Source organism: Homo sapiens, chromosome 14 (genome assembly GCF_000001405.40).
Source record: "Homo sapiens chromosome 14, GRCh38.p14 Primary Assembly".
NCBI lineage: Eukaryota > Metazoa > Chordata > Mammalia > Primates > Hominidae > Homo > Homo sapiens.
The window spans coordinates 95,083,054-95,104,946 of record NC_000014.9 but is presented as its reverse complement, the minus strand read 5'-3'; the positions used below and the strand labels follow the sequence as shown (position 1 = coordinate 95,104,946).

Below are 21,893 nucleotides of genomic sequence, written 5' to 3'. Positions count from 1 at the left end.
TTATGTCTTGTCAAGTCTCAGAGGGAGATGAGAATCTGAGGTCAGAAATAACCATTACTGCTTAAGCCATAACAGTTGGAGTGAGAATGAAATTGTTCTTTGTTACTGCATCAGCATTTTCAGTCTGTTTTTTCTTTTAAAAATCCAAATATATGTTAAAAAGCAATAGCCTTAGCATGTTCTTTGTCTTCATTATTTTCTTCCCATTAGTAAAATCTCTGCATTCTAAAGAAACTGTTGGCTTAAACACTCACATTAGTTCTGGTTATCCAATTGGCAATATCAAGACTGTTCTAGGGATTGAAGGAATTTTAAAATATAATAGGAATAACCACAATATTTATTGGTTAGTTGCTATAGTGCCAAACACTAGCTTAAATGCTGTACCCTGTGTTAGTTAGCTCATTTAATCATTAAGACAGTGCTATGAGATAGGAATTGTTAGCCCTTTTCTCAGGTGCAGAAGCTGAGGCACAGAGAGTTTATGTAAGTTGCCCAGAGTTACTCAGCGGGTTAACCAGAGTGCCTGGGATTCCAACCCGTGAAGCTAGGCCCCAGGTCCTGCAGGATGCCTGCAAGCTTCGTGACCTTCTTAACTACCACACCTAGAGTCTAGGGCCAGGGATTAAAGCAGTAGATAAAACCATGTCCCACTTTATAATTTACACTGTAAATTAAAAATTTGGAAACTTGCTTCTATTCTAAAGTTTAGGAGTACATTTTTGGGATCTTTGTTTTTGTTTTTAAATTCAAATTGCTGTTGCTCTCAGCCTAGCTGTTTTGAAGAATCTGATGTAAAGTTATAAAAATGTCTTTGCAGATACCCTAACTTAGACTTCGGGTGGAAAAAATCTATTGACAGCAAATCTTTCATCTCAATTTCTAACTCCTCTTCAGCTGAAAATGATAATTACTGTAAGCACAGCACAATTGTCCCTGAAAATGCTGCACATCAAGGTGCTAATAGAACCTCCTCTCTAGAAAATCATGACCAAATGTCTGTGAACTGCAGAACGTTGCTCAGCGAGTCCCCTGGTAAGCTCCACGTTGAAGTTTCAGCAGATCTTACAGCAATTAATGGTCTTTCTTACAATCAAAATCTCGCCAATGGCAGTTATGATTTAGCTAACAGAGACTTTTGCCAAGGAAATCAGCTAAATTACTACAAGCAGGAAATACCCGTGCAACCAACTACCTCATATTCCATTCAGAATTTATACAGTTACGAGAACCAGCCCCAGCCCAGCGATGAATGTACTCTCCTGAGTAATAAATACCTTGATGGAAATGCTAACAAATCTACCTCAGATGGAAGTCCTGTGATGGCCGTAATGCCTGGTACGACAGACACTATTCAAGTGCTCAAGGGCAGGATGGATTCTGAGCAGAGCCCTTCTATTGGGTACTCCTCAAGGACTCTTGGCCCCAATCCTGGACTTATTCTTCAGGCTTTGACTCTGTCAAACGCTAGTGATGGATTTAACCTGGAGCGGCTTGAAATGCTTGGCGACTCCTTTTTAAAGCATGCCATCACCACATATCTATTTTGCACTTACCCTGATGCGCATGAGGGCCGCCTTTCATATATGAGAAGCAAAAAGGTAAGAGATGATTTTTTTATTTTGAGCAGTTAATTATTCAGTGTGCCTGAAAGTGGTTTGCAGTGTTGGATAATCTCAGAGGATGAGAACGTATCATGCTCAGAAATTGCTACACCGGCCAAGCACAGCTGCTCCCTTGTTCTACCAGGGCCAGCGAAAGCCTGTGGCAGAACTACCTGGCAGTTGATGAGTATTGCTTTACACCAATCCCACACTCAGGTTTTGGGGCTTAGCTGATCTCCACGTGCCTTACTTTTTGATTGAAAGTCAGTTCAAAGGAAGCTATGCAAGTGTGTACACCCCTTGATCCTGAGGGGGATATGAAGAAATGTGCATTGTAGTCAGTCAAGGAGCTTCTGCTTTGTTGAGTTAAACATTTATTTGAGAGGGTACGTCTTGGCTTACAAGGCATACAGACATGAGTAAGACACAAGTCTTGTGGAGGAGCTCATCTCCAAAGTTTTGGAGAGTGGAGCGGAGAAGAGTAACAAGCTTCACAGAGCTTGGCTGCTCTCCAGTGTGAAGAGGGTGACACCAGAGTTCTGAGTAATTAACGCTCGATAGCTCAGAGAAAGGGCGGGCTCTTAAACTCAGCATGGACTAAGACTTAAGAAAAGGAATGAAGGTAAGATATTCAAGTTATGGGGGAAAAATGGAAAAAAGTCTCACAAGGCAACATGAGCCTCCTGGACAAATACCTTAGAAAGCTGCTGATCACTTGCAGCACTCAGAAGGAAGGAGCATCACTGTTGAATCAAGGATGGCATTAATGGAGGAGGCAAGTTGACAGTGCATAAGCAAAGTGAACAGATGGCAGAGCATGTCAGCGTCAGGGAAGCAGCCGTGGCAGCAGTCAGAAGTGTGGAAATACCTGAGAAAAGGCTTGAAAAGGCAGCTGGGGTGAAGCTGTATCGTGGAAGGCCTTGAATGCTGGGCTAAGGAGTTTGCACGTGTTTTGAATGTTGTAGGCACTGTTGAAGGAATTTAGAGCAAGGAACTATTAATGTTAATAAAGTGGTAGTTTAAAATGATTAATCTGGTAGCAGAATGTAGTGTGAGTTGAAAAGCATATCCAAACCAACAGCAGAAGCAGAGAATGGGATAGAACTAGAGTTCTGGTAGAGAGGAAGGGGCTGAGGTGAGTGAGAATTTCAGAAGAAATAATTTTAGCTAACAATTTAAAAGTGCTTACTCTGCACTACTCTAAAAGATAACCGTATACGCACACACACGTACACACACCCACATATATACACATATATGCATATAAACCTAATTTAATTTTTATAATTCTGAGAGGTAGAAACTTTTATTTTCCCCATTTTATAGGTGAGAATAGGCTGGAGAAGTTAGCTTGCCCAAGGTCACTTGGCAAGTAAGTGGCAGAGCTTGGGTCGAATCCAGACAGCCTGGCTTTGGAGACCTTCCCCTTCCCCATCACACTAACTGCTCCGGATAGAACCATCACACCAGGCAGCACACCAAGCATTTCCCAAGTGCTCACTCATTCACTCTTCTCTAAGCCTCTGGGAAAGAGACAACACATCCCTGTTTTGCAGATGAGGGGACTCACACTTAGAGAGTCGAATGGGCTCCTGTCAGGTCACCTAACTGTTCATCTGGGAGAGTCAGGAGTGTGTCCAAGGCCTCCCAGGATGATCTTGAGGTGGACTGGAGGCGCAGTCATAACAACCACGTAAACTGGCAACTTGGGGGCAGTGGCAGTAGCAGGGAGGTAGGGAGAAATGTGGGAAGTCCATGTTAGAGTTGAGATTTTAGACCTCATGGAATATGAAGTGGAAATGTTCAGATAATTGAGGCTGTAGGATTCAGATACGGTTTTGTAGAGTAGTCGCCATACGGAAGCTCTGAGAATGGATGAGATTTCCAAGAGGTGGTTGCAGGAAGAAAGTATCAGAGGCTTGGACAAGTGTGGCATAGGCAATAGGATAGGATACTCTGTTAGACAAGACAGAGGTGACTTTCTATTACAAAACTCGTCCATTTGTCTGCTCAGAAACCTTCTACTCCTTATTTCTGCAGAAAGAATGATCACTCCCTCAGCCTGCTGTTCAGGCCCTTTCAGCCCTGATGCGTTTTGGATCCTAAGCAGGTGGAAGCCCCTTGCAGCTCATTGGACAGACTCCACGCTCAGACCCCCAGCCTTGGGGCCCTTGCTCTGTCCTTCCTTCTGCAGAGGGCTTGCCTCCATCTCTACCTGTCCAGAATTTTGCCCCATATTTGAGACCTTACGTAGCTCTTTCTTCATCCTGCCCACCATTTCTGTCAACTTGGAATGTGATTTCCCTCCCATGAGTCCACGTTGTACTTTATCCTCTTCTTGGCGCTTGTGATGCTTTGTTCTCTTAGCTTGGAAAGGGAAGCTAGCATTTATTTCAGCCTGCTACGTTTCAGGCAGAGAGGGAGAGTACTTTTGGCTATAGTGGTCACACGTACCCTCCTTTTCCCTGCTAGCCTGTGTGTCACGAGGACTGCCCCTCTGTCCTGCTGCCATCGTTCCCTCAGGGTTGCCCAATCGAGTGCCTCTCATATGGGGGGTGTCTATTAAACAATAGTTGAGTTACATGGGAAGAGGGCTAATGAAGTACTTAATAATAAGGAACCGAGCTTTATGAAAATGAAAATGGGATTGACAATTCTAGACCCTAGTTTCCAAGTACTAACTTGACAGAAATGCAATGATGTGAGAAATTAAGAAGGAGATAGAGGCATTAGGAAAAACAGACCGGAGTAGAGGGTAAGATAGTAAAGCTGTTCCATTAATGTGAATAAACAGAAACCTTTTGGTTCATTTTTTTTAAGTTGAATAAAAGTGTCTTGAAATGGCTGTAAAACAAAGGAATAATATTTGAGAGAGCATTACAGTTGAAATCCCGTTTGTGGCTTCGATTCTAGGAATATAACATTGTTTCAGTTTTGTTCGGTGCCAGTTTTCACTTTGCAGCTAGAGCTGATGGCATCCTCCCCCCATTTCATTGAAAATATTGTGACATCTTGACTTTTTCTATGGGTTCTTTTCTACTTTGGTAATTCCAGTTAGCAGTTTGCATTTTATATCATCAGGTTGTATTTTCAAGGCTTTGATATTGTCTGAAGTGTTTCTTCTCAGTCATTCATAAGGAGTATGCATAGTTATATACATTATTTTTTCTGCTCTGCATCTTATATTCAGAAATATTTACACCAAAAAAGCATAGAATATGTGGGAATTTAATATTCTTTTTATAACATGAATGGGTAGAAAAACTGTAGAGCCCTTATAATTAATTGATGACATATAATTAATTGATTAATTTTAAGAACATTTAACTGAGGATATGTTAATATGCCTTGAATGAATTCCAGCAGTGATCATTTATGGATAAGTATCCTAATATTTTCTGCTAAAGGTCAGCAACTGTAATCTGTATCGCCTTGGAAAAAAGAAGGGACTACCCAGCCGCATGGTGGTGTCAATATTTGATCCCCCTGTGAATTGGCTTCCTCCTGGTTATGTAGTAAATCAAGACAAAAGCAACACAGATAAATGGGAAAAAGATGAAATGGTAAGTTTGTGTGTGTGTGTGTGTGTGTGTGTGTGTGTGTGTGTGTGTAACTGGAGGGATTTACTTTTCGGTGAGCCAAATAATTTGTTTTATTAATTTTTTGTTTCATTTTCTTGGTATGTTTATAATAGAGTAGATATTTGATATATTTAATTAATTCCTTTAATTACACTGTCTTTTCACTGAATTCAGAAATAGTATTATAATTTTGATGGAGGCAAATTTCTATTTTTATTATTTCTTTTCCAAAGGCATAAGAGTATGTGATGTTTTGACTTTGAGTTTTGCTCTTCTTTAAAAAAATTTCACTTTGCTGTTATTACAATTTATCCTAGATCCTTAGCTCTGTTCAGTGAAATGACTTTTCAGTGACCTGTGATCTCCAGTCTGTCTGTGAAATAATTAATTTCAGTAAAATCTTGCTTTTGTAGCTCAGGGTTTTCCCAGTCAGGACTCCTGTGAACTTAAAAAAAAAAAATCATCCATAAAGATTGTTATTTTCTGGAAATAATTTAAATCTTGCCAGTGACTTAAGAAGACTCCAAATATCAGCAACAGCCACTTCATTTTGTCTTGTCTTGAAGGCCACCAGAGGGCACTTGGGAGGGCCTCCAAACTGCAGGAACCAGCGCAGTGGTGGTTGACTGGGAGAGTTCTAGTGCCTCTTCCGAAGTTAAAGGCAATGCTTCAGACAGTTTCATTTCTTGGAGATTTATTTTGCATTAAAAATAAATTGGCTCATTGTTACTTCATTTTTACCTCAGGCCAACAATGATAATACCGTTTTTTTCTTTCAAAGGTTATATTTTTAAATATCCATTTTCTCCATGTCTTCTTTGTGATGCATGTATCCTATATATCTGCCTTTAAGTATTTCCAGGTAGCATGTTCAGTGACACTATTTGGATTTTTACCTATTTATTGAGGATGTTTTTAACTCATGTAGTATTTGTCTTATTACAGAATTAGAACTTATTTGGAAAAGCATTAAGGGAATATTTTAATGCAAGTTAGGTCCGAACAATTATTTGTTATTAATTTAGAAATATGTAGAACCTTAGAGGAAAATGTATAGATTTTCAACTTTAGAAATGGTATGGTATTTCTATGAATAACATTCCAGTAACAGTCATCCTCCTTTGTTAATACCGTTTCATAATGTTTTTGGCTCTTTTTAAAAACTTGTAGCATGAAGGTGACATTGGCATGTCATTGATTTTTTTTTTAAGATACAACACAAAGTTCAATTTATTTTTCTTAATGTTTCTGATGGCACTTTGGTTATTGGAATTCATTAGAAATACTGTTCAGATTTTTATTTAGTAAGTTACTTTTATTGAAATATAGGCCCTTGCATTATATTGAAAAGATACACTGTGGTTTTGGCTGGTTGCATTGCCATTCTCCCTACCTTGCTCTGGCCCTTCAGCAAATGGGCTTAAGTGGAAACCTTTGCATGCTAAAACGCCTCTTAATAGACGAGAGTATCAAAGTTGACTTGAATGATATAGAAAAGGATTTCATGTGGCTGTTTTTTCTTAAAAGGCTTGAAGTGCTCTTGAAAAACATTTTATGAGACAGAACCCCACTCTTTTGTAGATGAAGCATCTGAAACCCAGAGGCACTAAAAGGCTTTGCCCAGGATCACACAGTTTGTGATAAAAGTCAGCCCTTTGTGATTTTTGTGCTCTGCCACTTTTGGCTTATGGTGGCACCTTTCTAAAGATACAGAAGGTTTTTTTCAATAAAAAAAAAATATTGTCTGATTTTTTAAAAATCGCAGTTTGGCCCTCTTTTTCTTAAGGACCAATCAAAAACATCTTCATGTTGCCTTGGAAAGTCTAAGATTGTTAGCAGGAAATGTTCCTTGAGGTCTGCCGCTACAGTTGCTTTTGGTGTTCCTTATTCTTGAAAAGGTGTTTCTTTCTTAATTAAAAAAATGAAAAGATAAATAGTTAGAGATATGGCTTGGCTTACTGCTATTTCTTTTCAGACAAATGTAGTGTTTATATCTTGAGTCTAGTTTAAAATATTTGTAGTATTTAAAAAATGCTTGAAGGTTGCAACTTTTTTTTGTCAGAACACTGGAAAGTTGTTACAATCAACATTGATGCACACCCTTCGTCTTCCCCCTTCACAAGTTTTTTGGTTTTTTAAAAACTTGCATAACAGAAATTTGGCATCTTTCTAGGATTGCAAAGAAGTTACATCATTACTGAAATCTAGCCCATTATTAAGGTTGTCACTCACAAATAAGCTTTTGCCAAAGAAATTGGAATTAGCAAAGATCTTTTGACAGAAATTGGATTGTTGTGTTTCATGTTAGTCTAAATTTTCTTCCATTTTTGTCAGTTATGCTATAATCTGTTCCCCTGATTACCGTAGTTCAGAGTGGAGGGAAAAAACGTAACTTCTCAAATTCATAGCTTAGTGCAGTGATCACTTTTATTTTTTAAGGAAAGCAGTGTAGTTTTTTTGTGGCAAGTATACTTTGAAGTGGAAATAGGGACAAAAAGCTTTATTATAAAATCCTATTGTACATTTTAAAAAATGATTTTATCTGTTTTTATATTATATTCTTAATTGCAAAGGTAATGCTTTTCTACATCTGGAATTTCGTTTTATTAGTTTGAAAATCTTTTTGAAAATCAAATTACCACATTTTCAAATTTTGTCAGCAAAATTGAAGATCTGTGTGATCAGCATATGAGTGCTTTCATTGTGTGTCCTACCAGAGTTAGACGACTTAGTTGAAGTTTTGCATTGTGGACATTAATTTTAACTTTATATCCATGTTCAAAGTCCTTAACTTAAAGCTTCATACTGGATAAAGGTCATTTTATAACTTAGAAAACGAACATTCAAAGAACATGTTTTACTTTGTTTATATGATTAAATAACTTATTTTATGTTAATTGAAAACAAATGGCCATGATTTTAAAGTTGCCTTTTAGTATTTGTGGTTGTCATTTGAAATTATCCATAACCCTTGCTTTTATTGAGTTTCAAACCCTTTTAAAAACAGCAGCTATGTTTCCCCTCCTTCCCCATTCCCCCTCGTTTCAGACAAAAGACTGCATGCTGGCGAATGGCAAACTGGATGAGGATTACGAGGAGGAGGATGAGGAGGAGGAGAGCCTGATGTGGAGGGCTCCGAAGGAAGAGGCTGACTATGAAGATGATTTCCTGGAGTATGATCAGGAACATATCAGATTTATAGATAATATGTTAATGGGGTCAGGAGCTTTTGTAAAGAAAATCTCTCTTTCTCCTTTTTCAACCACTGATTCTGCATATGAATGGAAAATGCCCAAAAAATCCTCCTTAGGTAGTATGCCATTTTCATCAGATTTTGAGGATTTTGACTACAGCTCTTGGGATGCAATGTGCTATCTGGATCCTAGCAAAGCTGTTGAAGAAGATGACTTTGTGGTGGGGTTCTGGAATCCATCAGAAGAAAACTGTGGTGTTGACACGGGAAAGCAGTCCATTTCTTACGACTTGCACACTGAGCAGTGTATTGCTGACAAAAGCATAGCGGACTGTGTGGAAGCCCTGCTGGGCTGCTATTTAACCAGCTGTGGGGAGAGGGCTGCTCAGCTTTTCCTCTGTTCACTGGGGCTGAAGGTGCTCCCGGTAATTAAAAGGACTGATCGGGAAAAGGCCCTGTGCCCTACTCGGGAGAATTTCAACAGCCAACAAAAGAACCTTTCAGTGAGCTGTGCTGCTGCTTCTGTGGCCAGTTCACGCTCTTCTGTATTGAAAGACTCGGAATATGGTTGTTTGAAGATTCCACCAAGATGTATGTTTGATCATCCAGATGCAGATAAAACACTGAATCACCTTATATCGGGGTTTGAAAATTTTGAAAAGAAAATCAACTACAGATTCAAGAATAAGGCTTACCTTCTCCAGGCTTTTACACATGCCTCCTACCACTACAATACTATCACTGGTAAGGAGCCCACGACCAGACTTCATTTCTGGGAAAATGAGACTTTGTGTTGATCTCATCGTGTTGGCCTTGTAAAAGTGATCTATGCATGTACAGTGTTCATGCTTAATATTCAAGGGATGGGGCGGGGAACAAAAGGAATAGAAAGAATTCTTTTCCTTGTTATTTGGGGAGCACGTATTGCTTTATAACTTTGGTTGTTGGGAGTATGGCTATCATATACCCTCATCAGTGTCATTTTATATCTGCCTAATTAGAGAAATTTTAACCTTAGTATTTTGATGTGTTTTCCCCATTTTATCCTCCGCAAATATCTTTCTCTTGCCCATTCAGTGCTGCTTTTGGTTTTTGATTTAGTTGTATATTCTGGATGTATTTCCACAGCCTTTTATTGTTCTTCCTGGACAAAAAGACCCCTCCTTTAGGGTCTTTTTAAAGATGGATAGATTAAAAGATTAAAAGCAATGATTTCACAAGAAGGTTGCGTGGCCCTTGCTGTGACTCTGCTGTCATCTTCTACTTCTCACTGTGCTCTGTATTTGCCCCTCTTTTAATAGACTGTCAACCCATTAGATTAGAAGGGAGAACAAGCCCCTCACACCCAAATCAGCTTCAGGCTGTGAAACACAGCTGAAGTTTACATTTCAATTTCTGTATCAGAAAAATAAGTGCCTGAATTCAGAACACCAAAGCAAAGTATAAAGTTTGTAGTTTATATAATAAAAGCAGCGTAGGTTAAGGTGATCAGCAAAATGTAAAAACCAAAAAGTGAAAAACTATCTGACTCTGGACTGGAAAGACTGATGAAACTAAAGCCTAATTTTCGTTATGGAGGAAAAATGATACGTGGCTTTCGACTACATTCTGCTGGAAGTTCCGAGACCTGGGTTCTCGCCTAGCAGTCCCTGCTTCTTAATTCCTTGCTTATTCTGGGACAAGTCACCATCGGTCCCTGCCTCAGTTTCCTCAGCTGGATATATTATTTTAATCACTGTGAGAAAATAGAGGTGTTGATTTAACATTGATCATTTTCACATTTTGACAACCAGTTTACCTGCCTTTGCTCCCTTTCACAACTCTTCTTTCTCAATCTCTTGGTTTGTGGTAAATTCATTTCTATAATAGCTCAAGTTAAGAAGAGGGTCTTCTTTTCCTGTCATCCTGTGTAACAAAAATAGCCCAGGAATAGTGAGGAATGGTATCACTTATGCACAGATTCCAGAGTGTGAATGAGACTTTAGCGATGGCAGCACAGTGTAGCCACATGGAGAGGTGTGTGCGGCCCTGGTTTCACTTAAGTGATGATGTGTGAGGGAGACTCGAGAGGAAGGCCCCAGCACCTGCCCAGACAGCACAGTGCCAGAGAAAAGCATTCAGTGATCATGATAGCACCTGTGAGGTTTTGTTTTTCCTTCTTAACAAGCGTTAGTCTTTTGACCACTTGAAGATTTTATGACCCCAGTTTATATAAGAAATGTACTTAATTTGTCATTAAAATTTAGTTTCCAGAGGCTTTTTAGTATGATATGTCAGATATCCTTTTTGAAGAATATATGTATGAAAATGATTGTAAATACAAATCTTCTTCGGATTTGGGGATCAGTTGCTATGTGGGGATAGTGTAAATGCTTCTGCACAAGCTTACGGTTCCACTTCGGATCCCCTCAGATTGTTACCAGCGCTTAGAATTCCTGGGAGATGCGATTTTGGACTACCTCATAACCAAGCACCTTTATGAAGACCCGCGGCAGCACTCCCCGGGGGTCCTGACAGACCTGCGGTCTGCCCTGGTCAACAACACCATCTTTGCATCGCTGGCTGTAAAGTACGACTACCACAAGTACTTCAAAGCTGTCTCTCCTGAGCTCTTCCATGTCATTGATGACTTTGTGCAGTTTCAGCTTGAGAAGAATGAAATGCAAGGAATGGATTCTGAGGTTAGTGCTGTTCAAAACGATGTTGAAAAAAGTGGTCTAACTAGGAGTCTCTGTAGTTTCAGAGTTCTGACGGCATAGTGGTCTAAAGGGACAGCAGGAGGTCAGGGGTGTGGGACCCAGTGTGCTGTGTTCTGTGGGAGCACGAGTGAACTGCAGTTTGCAGGTAGGCCTCTTGAACTTGTCTGCCCCCACTGTGGGCTGTGTGGTCATTCAGGTGAAGAGAAGGAACCAGGCCTTTCAGTTAGGTACCCTTCCCACGCCTTCATGAGGGCTTCCAGCATTGAGGCATGCCAAAGAAGTGGCCTCCACTGCCGGACCCCAAGGCAGGTTTAGCTTTAGTAAAAGCCCAGTGTAGCTTATCCTTCCTTTTTTAAATGGATCAGAAATATTTGCTAATATCTCAGGGAAGCATCATAAATATACATTCTGCTTCTACTTGAAGTGGGAAAATCTAATTTAAAAAACAAACTTCTAAATTTTTGACCATTGGAATTTGGGAGGCTTCTATTGTAAGTTCAGCCAAAGGCTGTCTGGTGACAGAGCTAATTCTAATGTGTTTGTGAGCTATTTCGAATTTTTGTAGGAAAGGATATTGCTTAGATCTTTCCAGTCTCTTAACATTCATCTGCATACCTGTGTCCCCCAGAGAGACTCTCATTTCCTCCTCTTCCCATTTCATTTCCTTTGATTTTCTTATTTTTGTAGATTTTCTTATAAGGAGTCAGGAAATACAACCTTAATACTAGTAGCTGTTTTAGTTGTCATTGCTTTAATTTGTACCTTCCCCTTTTTAATTGCACCAAACCTTTGTTGGGGAGTAGTGACTTTCTATGACAAAAATTAAGAGTAGGTTTGAAGTCTAGCCGCAGAGCCGAGTTCACGCCCTGCCAGCTGCCCAGATGTGCACTGGAGGAGTCAGTAGGCCCTGCTCTTACTTTAACGCGCCTCTGTGCTCTTGTCCAAGATGAACAGCCTGAGCTGGAGCGTGGCAGGCTGTGAGGCGAGAAGGCGGGACCAGCTCGTAGACTTCCAAGTGTTACCTAGTCTCATTCTTTAGAAATAGCTAAGCTTGAAATTTGAGGAATTAGTTAAAATTAGATTTAAGCTCTCTTTGGATGCCAGTGGGGCATATTGGTTTTGTTAGTTTTTGTTCATTCTTTTCCTTCCCTTTGTTTATATAAACATATGTATAGAAGTTACAAGAACTGATTGGAAATGTCATGGTCTGGCATTTCTAACTTACTATTTGATCTTAAGAAAGTCTCTTTACCTCTCTGGGCCTCCGTTTCCTCAGCTGTAAAAAGAGAGAATTAAACTTGGTAAGTTTTAAAATTCCTTTCTATCTCAAAACCATAAATATGAACAATAAGTCTGTTTTTTTAAGTAATCAGCAGTATAAATGTATTATATGTAACTTTGTATGGCTAAACAACCTATTAGAAATTAGTATTTTCCCACTTTCTCTTTATTTTTTTCACAAATGATTTGTGTTGATTTTAGAAAAGTTAGTACAAGTAAATAAGAAGAAAATTAGTTAAATTTGCCTGATTATGCTACCTCGGAAATAACCAATATTAACATTTTGGGAGGAATTGTGGATGTGTATAGATATAAACATATCTAAAATGTAAAATGGAATTCTGTTATGTATAGGATACTGTCACCTGTTCTTTTCACGTATAATATATTGTGGCTGACTTTCCGTGTATTGATGGGTATCGTGATGCTCAGGGGCCACACGCTAGTCAACACGTGGCTGATTGATTTAAACGCTTCTTTATGGCCGAGTAATTAAGTAGTTTTTGGTTAGGATGTTTAATAACCATGGAGGTGATAAATACGCTTATGTATCTAGTTACCTCCTTAAAATAAGTTCTTAGAGATGCAATTGCTGCATCAAAGAATTGTGAACTTTTCAAAGGCTTTTGATGCATGATTTTCTTTTATTAATTTGCATACATGCTATGTCAGATACTCGGTTATAGTGAACACATATCTAGTGGCTTAATGAAGAGGGAACTTGGAGGAAAAAATCTTTCAAATATAATTTCCCTATTTCCCTACAACAGCGATTTCTGCTCCCCAAAGCAGCATACACCCGTGCCAGCACCAGACCAATTAGTACTATTGAATGCTTGCCAAGCAGCTAGGGAGTAGAACTGTTTTAAAGTATAGTTCTTTGATTACGAGTGAATTTGAATTTTTTTCATACTTTTATTGACTATTTCTAATTCTTTGTTAAGGTTGTTTAAAGTTAGAAGTAATCTTTTTTCTTTGCTGGGTATATAGAATAATAAATGGGGTGGGGATATTTTTTCTTTTTTTCTTGAGAAGTTTGAAAAACTTTTTTAAAAATATAACATTTGTTTTACTATTACAATATAGTAGGCATACCATAAATGGTATTTCCCCCCTTACTAAAGAAGTAACAAAAGTCATATATCCAAGAAAAGAAACTACATCTGTGGACTGCCTGTAAAAGTGGCCTTTTTGCTTACAAGTCACTTTTCCCTCTGTAATAGCTTAGGAGATCTGAGGAGGATGAAGAGAAAGAAGAGGATATTGAAGTTCCAAAGGCCATGGGGGATATTTTTGAGTCGCTTGCTGGTGCCATTTACATGGATAGTGGGATGTCACTGGAGACAGTCTGGCAGGTGTACTATCCCATGATGCGGCCACTAATAGGTATTGTTGGCTCCCTTTAGAAAGAAAAAAACCCACAAAATTAAAAACAACTTCAGAGATATTATTCATATTATTCTTTCATTTTGATTGCAGAAAAGTTTTCTGCAAATGTACCCCGTTCCCCTGTGCGAGAATTGCTTGAAATGGAACCAGAAACTGCCAAATTTAGGTAAGCAAAAAATGTACATGGAAAAAACATTAACTTAAAAACATCAAAGGGGAAAAGTTCACAAAGATATTGTAAACTAATGATTCTGAAAAATATTTACACTGTGGTGTGCTGTTGTCAGATTTCTGTTTGTAATCTGATTGACTTCTCTTTTTTCCTTCTGTTTTTATGAAATAATGCTGTAATAAAGACTAGACGGCAGCCCTGTCTGTCGGGGGTATGCAATTGCAGTAAGTCGTAACGCGTGTTTCCTTTGTGTGGTGTCAGCTTATACATGGGACTCCTGGCCTGAGAGTGCACACTAAATGCTGATTGACAATGATAATAAATACTTCTGACTTCTAATTCAAGCTGTTTGGATTTTTTACAGCCCGGCTGAGAGAACTTACGACGGGAAGGTCAGAGTCACTGTGGAAGTAGTAGGAAAGGGGAAATTTAAAGGTGTTGGTCGAAGTTACAGGATTGCCAAATCTGCAGCAGCAAGAAGAGCCCTCCGAAGCCTCAAAGCTAATCAACCTCAGGTTCCCAATAGCTGAAACCGCTTTTTAAAATTCAAAACAAGAAACAAAACAAAAAAAATTAAGGGGAAAATTATTTAAATCGGAAAGGAAGACTTAAAGTTGTTAGTGAGTGGAATGAATTGAAGGCAGAATTTAAAGTTTGGTTGATAACAGGATAGATAACAGAATAAAACATTTAACATATGTATAAAATTTTGGAACTAATTGTAGTTTTAGTTTTTTGCGCAAACACAATCTTATCTTCTTTCCTCACTTCTGCTTTGTTTAAATCACAAGAGTGCTTTAATGATGACATTTAGCAAGTGCTCAAAATAATTGACAGGTTTTGTTTTTTTTTTTTTGAGTTTATGTCAGCTTTGCTTAGTGTTAGAAGGCCATGGAGCTTAAACCTCCAGCAGTCCCTAGGATGATGTAGATTCTTCTCCATCTCTCCGTGTGTGCAGTAGTGCCAGTCCTGCAGTAGTTGATAAGCTGAATAGAAAGATAAGGTTTTCGAGAGGAGAAGTGCGCCAATGTTGTCTTTTCTTTCCACGTTATACTGTGTAAGGTGATGTTCCCGGTCGCTGTTGCACCTGATAGTAAGGGACAGATTTTTAATGAACATTGGCTGGCATGTTGGTGAATCACATTTTAGTTTTCTGATGCCACATAGTCTTGCATAAAAAAGGGTTCTTGCCTTAAAAGTGAAACCTTCATGGATAGTCTTTAATCTCTGATCTTTTTGGAACAAACTGTTTTACATTCCTTTCATTTTATTATGCATTAGACGTTGAGACAGCGTGATACTTACAACTCACTAGTATAGTTGTAACTTATTACAGGATCATACTAAAATTTCTGTCATATGTATACTGAAGACATTTTAAAAACCAGAATATGTAGTCTACGGATATTTTTTATCATAAAAATGATCTTTGGCTAAACACCCCATTTTACTAAAGTCCTCCTGCCAGGTAGTTCCCACTGATGGAAATGTTTATGGCAAATAATTTTGCCTTCTAGGCTGTTGCTCTAACAAAATAAACCTTAGACATATCACACCTAAAATATGCTGCAGATTTTATAATTGATTGGTTACTTATTTAAGAAGCAAAACACAGCACCTTTACCCTTAGTCTCCTCACATAAATTTCTTACTATACTTTTCATAATGTTGCATGCATATTTCACCTACCAAAGCTGTGCTGTTAATGCCGTGAAAGTTTAACGTTTGCGATAAACTGCCGTAATTTTGATACATCTGTGATTTAGGTCATTAATTTAGATAAACTAGCTCATTATTTCCATCTTTGGAAAAGGAAAAAAAAAAAAACTTCTTTAGGCATTTGCCTAAGTTTCTTTAATTAGACTTGTAGGCACTCTTCACTTAAATACCTCAGTTCTTCTTTTCTTTTGCATGCATTTTTCCCCTGTTTGGTGCTATGTTTATGTATTATGCTTGAAATTTTAATTTTTTTTTTTTTGCACTGTAACTATAATACCTCTTAATTTACCTTTTTAAAAGCTGTGGGTCAGTCTTGCACTCCCATCAACATACCAGTAGAGGTTTGCTGCAATTTGCCCCGTTAATTATGCTTGAAGTTTAAGAAAGCTGAGCAGAGGTGTCTCATATTTCCCAGCACATGATTCTGAACTTGATGCTTCGTGGAATGCTGCATTTATATGTAAGTGACATTTGAATACTGTCCTTCCTGCTTTATCTGCATCATCCACCCACAGAGAAATGCCTCTGTGCGAGTGCACCGACAGAAAACTGTCAGCTCTGCTTTCTAAGGAACCCTGAGTGAGGGGGGTATTAAGCTTCTCCAGTGTTTTTTGTTGTCTCCAATCTTAAACTTAAATTGAGATCTAAATTATTAAACGAGTTTTTGAGCAAATTAGGTGACTTGTTTTAAAAATATTTAATTCCGATTTGGAACCTTAGATGTCTATTTGATTTTTTAAAAAACCTTAATGTAAGATATGACCAGTTAAAACAAAGCAATTCTTGAATTATATAACTGTAAAAGTGTGCAGTTAACAAGGCTGGATGTGAATTTTATTCTGAGGGTGATTTGTGATCAAGTTTAATCACAAATCTCTTAATATTTATAAACTACCTGATGCCAGGAGCTTAGGGCTTTGCATTGTGTCTAATACATTGATCCCAGTGTTACGGGATTCTCTTGATTCCTGGCACCAAAATCAGATTGTTTTCACAGTTATGATTCCCAGTGGGAGAAAAATGCCTCAATATATTTGTAACCTTAAGAAGAGTATTTTTTTGTTAATACTAAGATGTTCAAACTTAGACATGATTAGGTCATACATTCTCAGGGGTTCAAATTTCCTTCTACCATTCAAATGTTTTATCAACAGCAAACTTCAGCCGTTTCACTTTTTGTTGGAGAAAAATAGTAGATTTTAATTTGACTCACAGTTTGAAGCATTCTGTGATCCCCTGGTTACTGAGTTAAAAAATAAAAAAGTACGAGTTAGACATATGAAATGGTTATGAACGCTTTTGTGCTGCTGATTTTTAATGCTGTAAAGTTTTCCTGTGTTTAGCTTGTTGAAATGTTTTGCATCTGTCAATTAAGGAAAAAAAAAATCACTCTATGTTGCCCCACTTTAGAGCCCTGTGTGCCACCCTGTGTTCCTGTGATTGCAATGTGAGACCGAATGTAATATGGAAAACCTACCAGTGGGGTGTGGTTGTGCCCTGAGCACGTGTGTAAAGGACTGGGGAGGCGTGTCTTGAAAAAGCAACTGCAGAAATTCCTTATGATGATTGTGTGCAAGTTAGTTAACATGAACCTTCATTTGTAAATTTTTTAAAATTTCTTTTATAATATGCTTTCCGCAGTCCTAACTATGCTGCGTTTTATAATAGCTTTTTCCCTTCTGTTCTGTTCATGTAGCACAGATAAGCATTGCACTTGGTACCATGCTTTACCTCATTTCAAGAAAATATGCTTAACAGAGAGGAAAAAAATGTGGTTTGGCCTTGCTGCTGTTTTGATTTATGGAATTTGAAAAAGATAATTATAATGCCTGCAATGTGTCATATACTCGCACAACTTAAATAGGTCATTTTTGTCTGTGGCATTTTTACTGTTTGTGAAAGTATGAAACAGATTTGTTAACTGAACTCTTAATTATGTTTTTAAAATGTTTGTTATATTTCTTTTCTTTTTTCTTTTATATTACGTGAAGTGATGAAATTTAGAATGACCTCTAACACTCCTGTAATTGTCTTTTAAAATACTGATATTTTTATTTGTTAATAATACTTTGCCCTCAGAAAGATTCTGATACCCTGCCTTGACAACATGAAACTTGAGGCTGCTTTGGTTCATGAATCCAGGTGTTCCCCCGGCAGTCGGCTTCTTCAGTCGCTCCCTGGAGGCAGGTGGGCACTGCAGAGGATCACTGGAATCCAGATCGAGCGCAGTTCATGCACAAGGCCCCGTTGATTTAAAATATTGGATCTTGCTCTGTTAGGGTGTCTAATCCCTTTACACAAGATTGAAGCCACCAAACTGAGACCTTGATACCTTTTTTTAACTGCATCTGAAATTATGTTAAGAGTCTTTAACCCATTTGCATTATCTGCAGAAGAGAAACTCATGTCATGTTTATTACCTATATGGTTGTTTTAATTACATTTGAATAATTATATTTTTCCAACCACTGATTACTTTTCAGGAATTTAATTATTTCCAGATAAATTTCTTTATTTTATATTGTACATGAAAAGTTTTAAAGATATGTTTAAGACCAAGACTATTAAAATGATTTTTAAAGTTGTTGGAGACGCCAATAGCAATATCTAGGAAATTTGCATTGAGACCATTGTATTTTCCACTAGCAGTGAAAATGATTTTTCACAACTAACTTGTAAATATATTTTAATCATTACTTCTTTTTTTCTAGTCCATTTTTATTTGGACATCAACCACAGACAATTTAAATTTTATAGATGCACTAAGAATTCACTGCAGCAGCAGGTTACATAGCAAAAATGCAAAGGTGAACAGGAAGTAAATTTCTGGCTTTTCTGCTGTAAATAGTGAAGGAAAATTACTAAAATCAAGTAAAACTAATGCATATTATTTGATTGACAATAAAATATTTACCATCACATGCTGCAGCTGTTTTTTAAGGAACATGATGTCATTCATTCATACAGTAATCATGCTGCAGAAATTTGCAGTCTGCACCTTATGGATCACAATTACCTTTAGTTGTTTTTTTTGTAATAATTGTAGCCAAGTAAATCTCCAATAAAGTTATCGTCTGTTCACTTTGTGTCCTTTCATCTTTTTTCAATTCAAGTGGGTAATAACGTTTAAATAGTGGTAGCAGAAATGATCTTTATAATGTTTCAATTCCATGGTGAATCATATGAAAATGCATATTTTAATATAAAATTTTGTTTACCAAGTTCTGCTTCATGTCCACCTGTAGAATTATATAGTAACAACTGTCTTTTTTGAAGACTTAATTCCAATCTGCTTTTTGGAAATTCTGTCACATTGATTGATGCATTCTAGGTCTTGGATTATTTAGATGATGTGTTTGACACATTCTTGAGGTGAACTTGGCTTTTCTAAAAGCAGGTGGACAGAATGTTCAGCTTCCAGGTTTTTAGGACACATTTCCAATATTGTTGATTAAGAAATAATTCTATCATTTTAGCCTTTTGACCCAACTTTTTTTGTAACTCAGTAAACCAAGCACTAATATGAATCATTTGGTTGTAGAAACAAGATGGTAAGAAGTTTTTTAGAATGAGAAAAAAGTTTAGTTTTCCTTTGTAGGTTTAAATTAGTCCCTTCCTTTCCTCTCTCTCTGACTGCCCTAAACTAGATGAGAAAAAAGTATATTTTAATCCTAAGGAATTTGGGTAAGTGCTGCATGCTTGTGTGTGTTGATGTTACTGCCCTGAATTCTCTAGATAGTTCAGGCCAAGCCTCAGGGCCACAGGTCCTTCCTGCCACCATTGACCCTACCCTCCAAGACAAGCAACTGCTCACGTCTGCAGCTGTCACGGCTAGCAAGAAAGAACACAGCCAGGCTGAATGTATCATTTTGCAGATTGCGATGTGCGTGAAAAGAATCCAGATGGGATTGAATTTTTGTGTGTGTGCAGATCCGTGAGCACAATGTATGTTTTAGATGGAATGGTAAATGCTGGGTCCCAGCCAGCTCAGGTCTGTGCCCCTTGGAAAGATGCAAGGAGCAGAGAGATGTGCAGGCCAGGAGAAGTGCTTTATAACTGGTCTGCAAGGCAGTTTATGAACAACCCTTAGAAGGTTTTTTGGTGTGTATGTGGTAAAATACACATAAAGTTTACCATCTTAACCATTTTTAAGTGTACAGTTTAATGGCATAAAGTACCTTCACAGTGTTTTGCAATTCTCACCACCCTTCATCTCCAGAAGTTTTTCTTTTTCTTTTTTTGAGACAGAGTTTCGCTCTGTCACCCAGGCTGGAATGTAGTGGCGCAATCTCAGCTCACTGCAACCTCTGCCTCCCGGGTTCAAGGGATTCACCAGCCTCAGCCTCCCGAGTAGCTGGGACTACAGGCGCCCGCCACCACGCCAGGCTAATTTTTTGTATTTTTAGTAGAGAAGGGGTTTCACCATGTTACCCAGGATGGTCTTGATCTCCTGACCTCGTGATCTTCCTGCCTGCCTCAGCCTCCCAAAGTGCTGGAATTATAGGCGTGAGCCACCGCGCCTGGCCCATCTCCAGAACATTTTCTTTATCCCAAATTAAAACTCTACCCATTAAACACTAATATTCCTTTCCCTCCAAATCCCTGGCAACCTCATTCTACTTTGTGTCTCTGAATTTAATTTTTCTAAGTACCTCATATAAGGGGAATCTGACAATGTTTGCCCTTTTGTGTCTGACTTCACTTAGCATAACGTCTTCATGGTTCATCCATACCATGGCACATGTCAGAATTTGCTTTTTAAGGTGAATAATATCCCATTATATGCATAGACCACATTTTGTTTATTCATCTGCCAATGGACATTGGGGTTGCTTCCACCTTTTGGCTGTTGTGAACAGTGCTGCTGTAAACATTAGTGTAGACATACCTGTTTGGGTCACTGCTTTCAGTTCTTTAGAGTATATACCCAGAAGTAGAATTGCTGGATTGTATGGTAATTCTGCTTAATTTTTTGGGAAGTCACCATATTGTTTTCTATAGTGACTACACTATTTTACTTTCCCACCAGTAATGCACCAAGTTCCAGTTTCTTCACATCCTCACCAATACTTGTTTTATGTGTTTTTGCTAAGAGCCATCCTAACGGATGTAAAGTGGTATCTTATTGTGGTTTTGATTTACATTTTCCTAATGATTAGAGATGTTGAGCATCTTTTAATGGCTTATTGACCATTTGTCTCTTTGGAAAATTATCTATTCAAGTCCCTTTTACCCATTCTTGAATTGGGTTTTTTTGTTGTTGAGTTTTAGAAGTTCTGTATATATTCTGGATGAGAGTTTTATAGTTTTAGCTCTTACACTGGGTCTTTGGTCCATTATGAGTTAGCTTTCGTACAGAAGCTTCTCTAGTCATGATGGAGTTATGTCCCAGTAAACCCATCGTAAGTTGAAAATATCTTAAGTCAAAAATGCATTTGCCCCAGCGCAGTGGCTCACACCTATAATCTCAGCACTTTGGGAGGCCAAGGTGGGCAGATTGCTGGAGCTCCAGAGTTCGGACCAGTCTGGGCAGCATGTCAAAAGCTCATCTCTATAAAAATACAATTCGCTGGGTGTGGTGGCACATGCCTTTAGTCCCAGCTACTCAGGAAGCTGAGGTCGAAGATCATCTGAGCCTGGGGAGGTCAAGGCTGGGCTGAGCCATGATCATGCCACTGTACTCTAACCTGGGCAGCAGAGTGAGACCTTGTTTCAAAAAAAAATTATTCAATCCACCCAACCTACTGAACATCATAGTTTTGCCTAGCCTAATGTAAATGTGCTCAGAACACACATTAGCCTACACTTGGGCAAAATTATCTAACACAAAGCCTGTTTTATTATTTTTATTTTTTTGAGATGGAGTCTTGCCCTGTTGTCAGGCTGGAGTGCAGTGGTGCAATCTTGGCTCACTGCAACCTCCGCCTCCTGGGTTAGAGCGATTCTCCTGCCTCAGCCTCCCAAGTAGCTGGGACTACAGACGTGTGCCACCACGCCCAGCTAAGTTTTGTATTTTTGGTAGAGATGGGGTTTCACCATGTTGGCCAGGATGAGCATTGATCTCTTGACCTCGTGATCCCCCTGCCTCGACCTCCCAAAGTGTTGGTATTACAGGCGTGAGCCGCTGTGGGCTGTGTGGGGGGAACCGGCTAGGTCCTCAAAGTATGGTTTCTACTGGATGCATATCAGTTTTGCACCATCAGAAAGTCAAAAAGTCATTAAGTTGAGCCATCATACGTTGGGGACTCTCTGTGG

General features: G+C 38.5%; 1 protein-coding gene across 30 annotated transcripts in view; it reads left to right on the top strand.

The window, feature by feature from the left end:
- Window positions 1-18,719, top strand: part of DICER1 (dicer 1, ribonuclease III) — a 71,783-nt gene extending 53,064 nt beyond the window's left edge. For 19 of the 30 annotated variants that reach the window (NR_172716.1, NM_001291628.2, NM_030621.4 and 16 more), the window contains 7 exons: window positions 821-1,601; window positions 5,012-5,167; window positions 8,234-9,122; window positions 10,791-11,059; window positions 13,582-13,744; window positions 13,838-13,913; window positions 14,284-18,719. Coding sequence is in view for 24 of the 30 variants with exons in the window: in NM_001291628.2 (NP_001278557.1) it covers window positions 821-1,601; window positions 5,012-5,167; window positions 8,234-9,122; window positions 10,791-11,059; window positions 13,582-13,744; window positions 13,838-13,913; window positions 14,284-14,449 (2,500 nt within the window). In the remaining 6 variants the exon portion in view is untranslated. Of the gene's footprint in view, window positions 1-820; window positions 1,602-5,011; window positions 5,168-8,233; window positions 9,602-10,790; window positions 11,060-12,252; window positions 12,379-13,581; window positions 13,745-13,837; window positions 13,914-14,283 lie in introns of those variants that run through there. The other 11 variants (NM_001395694.1, NM_001395696.1, NM_001395693.1 and 8 more) reach the window with 5 other exon arrangements.